We start from the raw sequence: 12918 nt of genomic DNA, 5'->3' as shown, positions 1-12918 counted from the left end.
TTGGTACTTAGCTGGGAAGGTGGTTGGCCCTTGAGTGGATGAATGGATATATCAATGATGGATGGATGGATGGATGGATGGATGAATAATGGCTGGCTGGATGGCTGGATGGATAGATATATCAATGATGGATGAATGGATAGATGGATAAATCAATGATGGATGGATGAGTGAATAATGGCTGGATGAAATAATGGATAAATTGATGCATGAATGGATGGACGGATGATGGATGGGTGTGTAAATAAATGGATGGATGATGAGTGGATGGATGCATGGATGTATGAATGAATGGGTGGATGATGGATGGATGTGTAATGGCTGAATGAATAAATGGATGGATGGATGGATGGATGGATGAATAAATGAATGGACTATAGGAAGAAGAGTGGACCAGGCCCCATGGCCTTACTGGCTGTGTGACTGCAGGCAAGTCACTCCTCCTCTCTAAGCCTCGCACTTGCTCCCCTGGAAAATGATGTCTCCCTCCCCAGCTGTGTGTGGCCCAGGGACAGCCAGGGATGAGAGGAAACACCCGTGTTCCTCAGATGCCACATCCCGGGGTATAAATGACCTGGGAGCTTTCTGCGCTGGTTACCTCCCTTGGCCTTCTGCACAGGGGCACCTCTTGCCCTCAAATTCCAGTGCTGTAGGGAGAGCCTCTGCCTCCTGCCCAGAGCATGTTACAGTTGGAGAGGGAACATAGTGAGCCTTGGGGGCCAGGGTGTGGCCAGGTGGCCTCTGGCCCCTGGTAAGAGATAGAGCCTTTGGGCTCATGGTGTTCATGCTGCCCAGACCAGTAGGATGAAGACTGGCTGAGGCTGCCAGCACTGAAAAGGCCCTGAGTCCATAAACAAAGAGCAGGTGCATTTTTCAGTAACTGGTGATGACCAAGGGTCAAATGGAGGCTGCTTCTAAAATAACCGATTCTGTTTGAGTGGGGAGGCCGAGCTGGGCGGATCACTTGAGGTCAGGAGTTCGAGACTAGCCTGGCCAACATGGTGAAACCCCTGTCTCTACTAAAAATACAAAAATTGGCCTGGTGTGGTGGCCCATGCCTGGAGTCCCGGCTACTCGGGAGGCTGAGGCAGGAGAATTGCTTGAACCCAGGAGGCAGAGGTTGCAGTGAGCCGAGATCGTGCCACTGCACTCCAGCCTGGGCAACAAGAGCAAAACTCTGTCTCAAAAAAATAAAATAAAATTTCTTGTTTGTTTTATATCTTTTCAGCCACTAGATCAATGTCTCCATTATTATGAAATAACCTAGTCTGCCACCCTACATTTTGAAGTAAGATGGATATCTGGAGAAATTCTTCTTTATACATATAGTGGTTGCACATGCCCAGCGGGACGTGGCCTGCACCAAGCAGCTCCCTGAGGCCCCCAGCTCTGCCCAGGACCCCAAACACCCCACCAACTTGTGCACCCGAAGGTGGAGCGGCCCAAGCCCTTTCCCGAAACGGGGCCAGGCCAGGCTCTCCCAAGGGCACTCACTCAGCTCGTGCTGGCCGGGGCGGCTGGAGAACTCGATGACCAGCAGCTCCCTGCCGTCGAAGCTGCGCCCGATGCTGTAGGTCCTGGCCACGTGGGCGCAGCGGGAGGCCGTCCGCCTCAGCACACGCACCATCTGGGCGTAGGAGTGGTGGCTGAAGCGGATGAAGGTGGGCGGCAGCCCTGAGGGCAGTGCCTCGTCAGCCTCCAGGCCTCCTGGGGGAGCAGTGGGGGGGCTCAGTCAGTGTCAGGCCCCCAGGCTTCCTACCACTGCCTGGGAACGCTGACCACACACAGCACCCTTAGTCCCCTCTGCACGACAGCCATGCTTGGACATCTCTATCTTTAATTAGAGTTCCCTCTGCAGTGCCTACAACGATATCTAAGCCAAACGGCACCTGAGGTATGTACACAGCACAGCGCCATGGTTCCTAACGTGACTGTGAGTAAACATACTATGGGGCCACTGTGGGAAGCTCCTAAAATACGGAGCAGGACAACAGAAAGGAAGACAGATATATGGGGTCCTGGACCCCCCAAGGCAAACCCCTGCTGGGTGTGCAGAGGGGATTTTCCTGGGCGTGTTTTCCATGACAGTGGCACTCAGGCAGTTCAGTATTCTGCTTCATTTGCTTGGCTAATGGTGGAAACAGGAAGGCTCCTTGTGGTGCCCCCTCCGGCTGCTGTGAGGCTTCCCAGTGTTTCTGTTACAACCTCATCGGTACAACAGTGAGTGCCTGTCCAGGAAGGAAACAGAAAGGGGGGCTCTGGGAAGTACTTGGGGGAGGAAGAAAAAAGGGGGCTGGGGAAGAGGGAGGGGTTCTGGAACTAGAATACGAACGTCTCTACACCACATACGCACCAGCTTCCCCACCATCCTGTCATCCACTAGAACAGAGGTGCCCTGAGGGCCACCCCGATGACGCTTAGCTCCCTCCACCCCGCCAGGGGCTTTGCAGCAGTCAGGCCCACAGGAGCAGGACGCAGGTGCCCGCAGGCTGTTCCTGGGTCCACAGAGAGTTAATGTGCTCCTCTAAGCTTCTCCTTGCCCTGTGGTTTTGCTTCTGCTCAAAACGGTTCTCCAGGGGAAAGACTAGCAGAGGAAGCCGGCAATTTGGTGGTAGAGATGCCCAAAATAATCTCCAACCGACTCCTTGGGCTTTCCCAGGGCTGTGGGCTTGGCTTCCTTCCTCGCCTCCCTGGCCTCCCACAGGCAGCTCCACCACCTCTACAGGGACTGAGCTCTGCAGACAGACGGCTCCCACCTGCTGGCAAAGGGCACCCCCCCTACCGCTGCATCGCATGGGAGCCCAGGGTCCACCCTTCTCAGATTGGGAGCCAGAGGCTGCAAGACATGCCAGGTTCAGCCCTGAGCACCTGACATAGCCCGGAACCCAGGGCTTGCTGGAGCCCGGCCCGGGTGTTTGTCTGCCTTCCTTCTCCTGCCCTCCTCAATGTCCCAGCACAAAGCCACATGTACAGTGGGTGCTCGGTAGCTGTTTGACAAATGGCCAAATCCATCCCTCCATCCGCAATGGGCTTGGGCCACTCCAGCTAAAGACCCCACTGCTGTCACCCTTCCCGAGGCTCCACTTCCTCTTCCATGGAGCAAGGCTGTCGTGAGACTCGCGTGAGCTAGCACATGTGTGGCACCCGCAGTCAGATCCTCTGAACCCAACCATGAGCGGACACTGCCCTGCACAGTTGAATGTGGCACACACTGGCCCTAGGCTCTTCAAAGACAGGTTCAGACTCATTCAAATGCGATGAAACGCCCACATCCAGGCCTCAGTGGCAAGAGCCACATCCCAAGCCTTGGGGGCCACATGCGGCCAGTGGTAACTGTCTTGGACAGAACACAATAGAACATTTCTTTTACACAGAAAGGTCTAACGGGCCAGGACTGCTGCGGATCATGCAGGGTCTCTGGTGGACACCGACTCGTGAGACAACAGACACAGGGGACTCCATGCAGGGCCCCCAACCAGCCCCGCTGCCAAGTGGCCCTCTGGCACCTCTTTGCACACCTCAGAGACAAGTGGCCCATGGTGGCCCAGTCTTGCCCACTCCCCCTCCACTGTTTCATCTGCAAGAGACATCAAAGCATTTCTCCACAGCTCCTCTCCCTCCTTGAGCCCACAGGGCGGTGCAGACCCTGCTTGGAGGAGTCACTCCAAGCCAAACCCTCTGTGTGATCTTCCAGGCCCAGCGATGAGCAATCGTGAAGCTTTGCCCGCCAGACCTCCCGGGGGATGTAAATGCCCCGCCCCCCCTTGACCAGGGGTAAGCACTATGGTTCTGGAGGGTCTGTGGCTGAGGACTGGACCCCCAGGGCCAGCCCTGCACTCTGAGCCCAGGCTCCCCCACACGAGGCCTGCTCACTGCACCCTGGGCGGGGGCACTGCCCCCACTTGGACTCAGCACCCTTCCACCCCAGCCTGCCTCTAAGGGGCTGGAGACTTCTGCTAGGGGGCCCTGGGCAGCGAGAGGATCCTCCATCTGCACTGAGCCCCCGACCCTGCCTGGCACCCTTTTGTGGGGAACATGCTGCCTCGGGGAGCAGCCCCGCCCTCTACCAATGCCTGCACCGTCACTGTCGATGGAAAAGCCCTCAAGTTCCTTCCAGTGTGGCTCTTGGTCCTCCTTGACCACCTGGACCCCATGACCACACAGGCCCCCGCCACTTTCCCTTACCCCGAAGCTTCTCCAGCGGGTCATAGCAGCCCTCGTCCTCTCTCGTGAAGTAGCGGTGGCAGTCAAGGAAGTAGGGCCAGGCCATGTCAATGGCGTCGAAGGCGGGCTGGCAGACCTCCCGCAGGCCCTCGCAGATGTGCCGGCAGGGTCTGCGCACCCAGCCGCCCTCACACCGGGGGGCCAGCACAGCACAGCCCAGCAGCCGCAGGTCCGGGTTGCACTGGCCTTCCAGGAGCTGGTGTAGAACGCTCAGCAGGATGTACTCGGAGCTGGCCTCCACCACCTCCCACGACCGGTGCTGAAGCAGGTTGGGGAAGGTGGTGTGGTTGTAGGCGGCATCGCTGCAGGTCCTGAGCTGCAGGTCCACGCAGGTGGCTGGGGAGGCAGGGTCGGCAGGTCAGTCCCTCCTGCAGTGGCCCTGACCGTCACGCATCAGACATTTACGTAGGGGACCCCACGCAGGGCCAGGGCCTGCAGGGAGGGGCACCCACGGTCTGGCAGGGGAGGACCAGGACAACAGCTACTGTGCAGGAATCAGAGCCTGTGAGAGACCAGAGGAGGAGCCTAAGACCAACCAGATTCAACTACCCACCAGCAAGCCAGCCGCAGCAGGCTGCCCTGAGCCTCGGCGTCTCCATCTGCAAAGCAGCTGTGCCACACAAGGGCCCGTGAAGGCAGCCAGCTGATGCTGCATTAGGCAGGGACAGGCACAGACCACCCAGGAGCCACAGCCGCAGCACAAAGACGTCCCAAAAGACACATCCTGCTTTGGGCGTCTAGTGTCTTTGGGGACCCTAATGGGTCAGTTGGGGCTCAGGACTTGGATGAGAAGTGGATAATGACAGATGCGGCTCAGCCGGCTCATCTCTGCTCTGCAGCTCGCAGGGATGCCGTAAGCCCAGGCAGAGGGTAGGGTCCTCATTGTTGCTGGGCACCTTCCTGCTTCCTCATCACAGCTGTTTGTTTAGCTCCAAAAGCCCCATCTTTAAGGCCCTCATCGGCCTAGCAGGGCCCTCCAGCCCCGTCGGGAGCTGACTGTGTCCCCGCAGCCGCTGGCTCCACACTCGCACCCCCAGATGGCCTTCTCCTCTTTTCCTCAGCTGGACTTTCCCGATGTGGCATCGCATAGGACAAGTCATGACATTTTGCCACGTCTCATGTCAAAGTCTAGAAAGGACAGGATTCTTTCTGCCTCACATTGCCCTGCTCACCACATTTTACAGCCAGGCAAGGTGGCTAACGCCTGTAATTCCAGCATTTTGGGAGGCTGAGATGCGAGGATCACTTGAGGCCAGGAGTTTGAGACCAGCCTGGGTAACACAGCAAGACCTCCATCTCTAAAAATAAAAATAAATAAATAAAAAATAAAATAAAATAGACATTTTACATATGTCATTGACTTGGTACCCAGAATTTTTTTTCTGATATTTTGAAAGCCTCCACTTAGAATACACCAGATGCCCAAATCCGTCAGGAGGCGACAATGAAATGTTTGCCCCTTTCAGGGAAAAAGCCCTGTCCTCAGCCCTGACCTGAGCACTTCACATTGGTTGGCTCCCACGTCACTTTTGAAACCATCTCACAAGATTCGTTCAGCACTCCTCCTGTCACAAGGAGGAAATCGGGGCCTGGCGGGGGAGGTGACTCACCCAAACCCCAGACTCAGCAGGGGCCCGGCACAGAGCCAGTGACCATGAAATGCATGTGGACAAGGCCCAAATGCAGGACGTGTGACTGCAGTGGGGACTGGAGAGGGATGGAGAGGACATCTCTGCAGGGGCTGGGGTGGGCATAGCCCGGTGGGAAGCTGGTGCACCTTTTCCTAGCTGGTCTTTTTTTGTTATGTCTAATTTTTCTCTGGCTGTTTACGAGGGGGTTCTAGTTTGATTAATGGGCTGTGTTATCCATTACCCACTTCTGAAATCACGGATTCAGCTGCCTAAAGTGCTCTGACAGTGTGGGGGCTGCAGCCCTCCTACAGAACAGAAGCCAGGGAGGTCCCGGTACTGTACCGCTGTCTGCAGCTGGTGGCCTGTGGCATTCACCTGGAAAGAGAGACATGGCACTGTTAGGGACCTGCCTCGCCATCCTTCACTCACCGGGCAACACACGGCCAGGGCCCTGAGTGCAGGTAGGGACCAGCCCAGGCCACCCTCCGCCAGCTCCATCTCATGGAGTCTTCACAGCAGCCCCTGAGGCAGACACCACAGTCACCCCCATTTCCCAGGCATGAAAGCTGCGTCTGAGAGGTCACATGACCTGCCTAAGGACAGACAGGCAGCAGCAGGCGTCAGTGGCATCCATCTGGCTCGAAGCCCGGGGCTGGGCCATGGTGCCCACAAGCCTGATGTCCAGGACAGAAGAGCCCTGAGGTGGCATCTGTGAGTGCTGGGGCACAAGTACCTCTACTGTGGCCAATCTCAAGCTTCCCACCGTAAGCCGCTGAGTCCTCAGAAGATTCCAAAAGTTTTAACTGTCAGCCCCCGGAGCCCTCACCAGCAGGCACTGCTGCACCCAGACCCAGGCCCCTCCCAGAGTCAGCCACGCAGGCTCCGTGCCCCCAAGGACACCACCAGGGTGTGGCCTCTCCCCATTTCCTGAATCAGGGGCCCTCTTCCAAGAACAAAGGATCAACACACAAAACCATCCTCACAATCGTGGGGTTTCGAGGGCCCTTTCTGAACCCAGACATGTGAACCCAACAGTAAGGCCTCTGAGAAGGCCAAACACAGCCAACCCTAAGCAATGCTGGCTGCTAAGGGCCCTGTATGAAGTGGGACCCAAGGCTCTGTGTGCATCAGGCAGCGAGAACGCATCCAAGGCGGGGAACCCGGCATCAGATTTAAAACCCGGCTAGTGCTGGGACGGGCCCATGCCGGAGCCCACCTGGCCAGAGAGGGGGCAGGCTGGGCAGTGGGAGCAGCAGGAACCCGGAGAAGGGGACGTGACCCACAGGCAGGACGTGTGGAGTGGGTGCAGGGGGCCAGGGAGAAGGGGGCAAGCAGGCTGGAGCAGAGGAAAAGGCCTGCCTGCCTGGCTGTGACTTCACCTCCAGCCAAAACCTGGGACAGAACCTTGAGGCCAGGAGAGTGCAGGCCGCTTTTCGGAGCTCACCCTAGGATCTGGGGGCTGTGAAAACTTGGCTGAGCATATGGCAACTCTCCAAAGGTCAGAGAGACCTGGGCTGCTCTGTGGCCAGGCAGCTCCCACCCTCGGGAACTTCCTGGGACTGGGTTTCCCCACTGGGGACTGGGCAACCACAGTCCTGGATCCCTACACCATTCAGCTCACAGAGCTCTTGTGGGATGGGGACGTTTAGGGCACTAGTCCTCCACCAGGCACTCCTAGGAGAGCTCCCGTTTCCATCCTCATCACAGATGACAAAAGAGGTCCACACAGCGCTCTCCGGGCGTGGAACAGGCGTGTGCGGGCGGCCCTGGGGAAGACACGGCTGCCCTTGGGCTCACTCTCCCTCCCTGTCCAAGCTGGCAGGGAACATGGACTATGAACCACAAGGGCTGTGGAAGGCAGGGAAGATGCCCAGCCCCAGACCACCGGGCCCAGGTGCCAACCGCCACATCACAGCCGGGGGCCCCGGGCAAGTGGCTCTTTTGTGTCTCCATTTCCCCCATTTCACATGGGTTCATTATAATCATTTTGTAGGAATACTGTGAGATGAGACGACCTATGGTCCGAGCCCAGCACACGATCTTCCGGGGGGAAGAGGCTCCATCAGCCACAGTGTGCATCATTCCTGCGATGGTTTCAGAACAACCCGGAGACAAGCTGCAGGAGCCCTGCTGTGCTGAGTGTGGGAGAGCAGCAGGCAAGGGCACTGTTTTCCTAAAGCACCTGGGAGTGGGGCGGCCCTAACCCAAGAGGGGTGCTGCAGTGTGCCCACCTGCCCGTCCATGCCCGCGGACGCCCACAACGCGCGCTGGGATGAGCACAGAGGAGCTTGAGTCCCCCTGGATGACTGTCACGGGCCTGTGGGCGTGAGACTGTCCAGACACCCTCCCTGGCACCCTCACGTGACTCCCAGGCCTTCATGGTCCAGACAGAGCGTCCCCAGACTCCACCAATCTGCAGCATAAAGGAGGCATGACAGCTTGAACTTTAGGAAAAAAGGAATGAAAAAAAAGCTGGTCCGGGATTCTGCTTGAAATACTGTGCCCTCACCCCCCTGTCAGTGTGGCTAAAGACAACTGGGTGATGTTGGGAAGAGCAGATAAAAGGCTGGCATCCACACAGGGCCCTGTGTGAGCACCCATCCTGTGCAGGGCCCTGAGCGAGCACCGGTGTGCAAAGCTGGCCACCAGTGGGGCCACTCTGGCAGCAGGGTTTGCACTCAGCTGACCCGTGGTCTCATCCTGCACTGAGCTTGGACCGAGGCAGATGCTACAGCACAGTCAGCTCAAGGGTCAAGGTGATCTCAGCCCAGCACCCCTGCTCCACTCCCTGGGTACCCATCACAAGGCTCTGACGGTGCCCGGCTGGCACTGAGCGTGGCCTGGCCCTGAGCTGGCGAGCTTGGGTGAACCTGGAACTTTGTTTATTCACTCAGCAGACATGAGCGACTGGAAGAACTAACTTTGACTTGACCCTGGGAACTCTGCTGGCCTCAGGGAGCTACAAGGTGAGGTGTCCATCCCTGCACCTGCTCCTCCAAAGCCACCAAGCGCCCACACAAGTGACTGGACCATCACACAGGGACTGGACAGGCGATCCTTCCTGGCTTCCTGTGGCTTCCAGTCTCCCTTGTTCACAGATGAGGGCACTAAGACTCCAGGATGAACCACTGCCCGTGCCTCAGTTTCCTCATGTGTAGATTGGGATAAGGATCACGTCTACCTCATAGGGCTGTTGGAGGATCCATCAAGATTAATACAACAGGAGGGTGAGGTGCCCAGTGAATGCTCAACACACAGAGTCTTGGGGCATATCGTGGGCAGGAGCAGGACTATCCCCTGTGACCCCACAATAAGCCATGCAGCCCCATCGGGGTTTCCCAAGGGGCAGGAAGAGTGTCTGCTGGCTGGGTCACCCCCACTTCCACTGGCCGCCATGTGCAAGGCACAGAGAGGGGTGGGTTTGTTTGCCAGGGCTGCCCTAGCAAAGCGCCCACCATGCTTAGGTTAAATCAACAACAGCCGGGTGCAGTGGCCCACACCTGTAATCCCAGCACTTTGGGAGGCCTAGGCGGGTGAATCACGAGGTCAGGAGTTCAAGACCAGCCTGGCCAACATGGTGAAACCCCGTCTCTACTAAAAATACAAAAATTAGCCGGGCATGGTGGCACACACCTGTAGTCCCAGCTACTCGGGAGGCTGAGGTGGGAGAATCACTTGAACCTGGGAGGTGGAGGTTGCAGTGAGCCAAGATCACACCACTGCACTCCAGCCTGGGTGACAGAGAGACTCTATCTTGAAAAAAAAAAGCAACAACAGTTCAGAGCCCTGGAGGCTGGAAGGCTGGAAGTCTGCAGGTCTGCAGGGCCGCACTCCCTGTCAAGGCTCTAAGGGAAGAACTCTCCCGCCCCTCCCGGCTCCTGGTGGCCCCAGGTGCTCCTTGGCTCGTGGCCAGAGCACTCCAGTCCCTGCCTCTGTTGTCATGTGTGAACTTTGTCCCTGTGTCTGTCTCTGCCCAAATCTCCCTCTTCTTCTAGGGATACCAGTTATTGGCTTAGGGCCTGCCCTAATCCCGTGAGGCCTCATCTGAATCAGATTTCATCCACAAAGACCTTGTTTCCAAGTACGCTCCCATTCACAGGTGCCAGGGATTACATCATCAGTATGTCTTTTCTGGAAAACACAATTCTTCCCCCAACAATCAGCAAGCCCCAGTGGGTGCTGCTGTGGCCACAAGAGAGTCAGGATGGTCTGGGAGGAGCCCTCGGGGGCTGCAACTGCCCCAAGACCACACAGCTAGTCCCATGATGTGGCTGGGCCTTTGCCAGCTGCCTTGGCCTCCGTAGGCCTCTGGTTTTGCCCCTTACCACACGGGGGTGGGCCTGCTGACCCAAAGCCCACCCTCTGCCTCTCCCAGGCCGCACCTGCCCTGGCAGCCACAGAGCAAAGCCAGGACGACTGTGGCTGGTTAGGCTATTCACCATTGCTTCCCCACCCCAACCACCGTGGGACACAGACATCCCCGGATCCCCCTGCAGACTTGCAAACGCACAGTGGGGTGAAAGCCTATGCCCCTAGAAGGCTCTCAAGCCATGGTCTCCAGTACAGCAGCCACGAGCCACACGTGGCCACTGAGCCCTTCACATGTGGCAAGATCAAACCAATGTGTGCGATGTGTGAAATGCATACCAAATTTCAGACTTAGTACTAAAAACAGTGTGTTTCATTAATAATTTTTATATGAATGCCAAAATGCTGGAATATTTTGGACATATTGGGTTAAATAGAATCTGTTACAGGCCAGGCGTGGTGGCTCACGCCTGTAATCCCAGCACTTTGGGAGGCCAAGGCGGGTGGATCACGGGGTCAGGAGATCAAGACCATCCTGGCCAACACGGTGAAACCCTGTCTCTACTAAAACTACAAAAAATTAGTTGGGCGCGGTGGCAGATGCCTGTAGTCCCAGCTACTCGGGAGGCTGAGCCAGGAGAATGGCGTGAACCCGGGAGGTGGAGCTCGCAGTGAGCTGAGATTGCGCAACTGCACTCCAGCCTGGGCGACAGAGTGAGACTCCATCTCAAAAAAAAAAAAAAAGAATTTGTTATTAAAATCAGTTTCGCCTGTTTCTGTTACCTCATTAGTGTGGCTACTAGAAAATATAAAATTCTGTGCGTGGATGGCTTTGTGTTTCTGTTGGACAGCACTGGTCTGAAAGCGGCTTTTGAAATAGTTCTAAGCCTCTTAACCACGAGGTGGCAGCATTTCTTCAACAGGGGAGTGACAGCCCGTCAGTCCTCCCCCTCCTCAACTGACCAGTGGCTGTGCCTGGGTCAGGGATGAGACCTGAATGAGGTCAGAGAGGTCAGGCCATCTGCCCAGGTCACACAGCAGAGTTGAGGAGTCAGAATCTGAATCCCAGACCCTAGGACATGAAAATTACCTCCGTCCCCAGGCTCCAGTGAGGACAGGGAATCTTCCACCAGGGAAGGGTGAGGCAGAGAGGAGAGAGCACCAGGCTTGCTCTCAGCAAGACCCAGATGGCGAGACAGGGACATGGCAGCCCGGGGTGGGGGACCTGCACTGCAGGTGACCGGCTCTGCCCACTTCTGCCTGTGGGCTGGAAACGTCCTTGACTTCCACACTCGTCCATAAGAGGGGAGACTGGACTGGGGGATGAGTGATTTCTCCCAGAAACACTTGCCGATGCCACGGCTGTGCTCAGCACCTGCCAGGGACAGAGACCAGCCCATGCATCCTGCTGGGTGAGGACAGGGTGGTCTGTGCTGCCTGCGTGCAGAGGAGGAGGCTGCATTTCTTCCTGGGAAAGGGCAGGTCAGGAGAGCTTCCTGGAGGAGGGGGCTGTGGTCTCCAACAAGCCTATGATTCTAGATACTGTCTGGGCTCTCAGGGGCCAAGGGGAGGCCCACCCACAACACGGCACAAGCTCCAGCAGCACCCCACCTGCACACCTGCATGAGCACACACGCAGCGGGTAGAAAAGAGCCCAGAGGTAAGGCGAGGAGCAGAGGTGGGAGGAAAATCCAGGCATCAACAGGACGGAAAGGAAAAGTGTCGACACAGCGCACTGGGGTGGGGTATTGTGGTCCTGGCACATCCACTCGCAGGGCTCAGGCAGTTCTCAGGTATCCACAAACCCCAGAGAACAAGCGATTCAGAACCTGACACCCTGCACCCTTGAACCCACACACGGCCCCACTCCCGCAGGAGCCCAGATGTCTGCTTCTGATGAGAGTCCTGAGCACGGTTGGCTAGATGCACCCCCACACCTGGAGAGGCCGTGAGGCCAGACGGGAGCCCAGGATCCAGCCCCCAGCCTCTACCTTCCTGCTCCCCACCCCCGCTGCACACCCCTTGGGTGAGGTCGTGCGGGCAGACCTCCCAGAGGATCCCTGCGTCCATTCCCTCTCCGGGCCCCAGATCCCTCCAGGGGGCCCACGCCCCCTCCCAGCCCTTAGGGCCACTTCCGGAGACTTGCTGTCCACATCACAGCCCCAGCTGGGAGGGAGGGGTCAAGAGTTTGCCACAGCCCAGAGAGACTGTCCCGTTCCTGGAAAGACCCGGGGACCTTAGATGGCCTCTCACCCTGCAAAGTCCTGGCACCTGCTCCCTCGAACCCACCTGCAGGGCGCCCCTGCTGCTGTGTCCGACAGGAAAAAGATCTCACCCCCCGGCCCAGGCGTGGTGACCCTCTGCTGCCTGGGGTCCCGGCCTGGATGCCGTAGAGAGCCTCCCTGGTGTCCCCGTCCAGGGGAGAGGTCACACTACCAGTCCCAGGCCACATGCTGCCCACTTTGGAGACGTTCTCGCCAGGACCATAGGCGCGTGACCTACTGGAAGAAAGCTCCCGGGCCCCTGGGAAGCGACGGATCACACTCCCCAGAGGTTGCAGGGTGGAGGGTGGAGGGTGGGGGCAGGGGACGGCCTTACCGGCGGGGTTCCGCTCAAACTCGCACCCCGGCCGGGCAGCGGCGACGACCAGGACTGTAAGGAGCAGCAGCGGCAGCGGGGGCGGCATGGTGGGGCGGCGGACCTTGGACGGCCAGCGCAGTGATGTGGCACTCGGGCCGCGCGGGGCCGGGGCTCT

The 12918-nt window shown here is 57.8% G+C and overlaps 1 protein-coding gene across 3 annotated transcripts in view, besides 1 other annotated feature; it reads right to left on the bottom strand.

The window, feature by feature from the left end:
* Nucleotides 1-12918, bottom strand: part of CPZ (carboxypeptidase Z) — a 26988-nt gene extending 14070 nt beyond the window's left edge. The window contains exons 1-4 of one of the 3 annotated variants that reach the window (NM_001014448.3): nt 12762-12918; nt 6101-6230; nt 4186-4726; nt 1495-1707 (exon numbers count right to left, since the gene is read on the bottom strand). In NM_001014448.3, the coding sequence (NP_001014448.2) occupies nt 1495-1707; nt 4186-4270 (298 nt within the window). In that variant the 5' untranslated portion in view covers nt 4271-4726; nt 6101-6230; nt 12762-12918. The remainder of the gene's footprint in view (nt 1-1494; nt 1708-4185; nt 4727-6100; nt 6231-12761) is intronic. The other 2 variants (NM_001014447.3, NM_003652.4) reach the window with 2 other exon arrangements.
* Nucleotides 11241-11915: an enhancer, noted in NCBI's record as "H3K4me1 hESC enhancer chr4:8595495-8596169 (GRCh37/hg19 assembly coordinates)". NCBI's record gives its function as "activates a minimal SCP1, AML or CMV promoter by ChIP-STARR-seq in naive H9 embryonic stem cells {active_cell/tissue: H9 hESC(naive)}" and the evidence as "EXISTENCE:reporter gene assay evidence [ECO:0000049][PMID:30033119]".

This window comes from Homo sapiens, chromosome 4 (assembly GCF_000001405.40).
Source record: "Homo sapiens chromosome 4, GRCh38.p14 Primary Assembly".
Lineage (NCBI taxonomy): Eukaryota > Metazoa > Chordata > Mammalia > Primates > Hominidae > Homo > Homo sapiens.
This window is presented reverse-complemented; position numbering and strand designations above follow the sequence as displayed.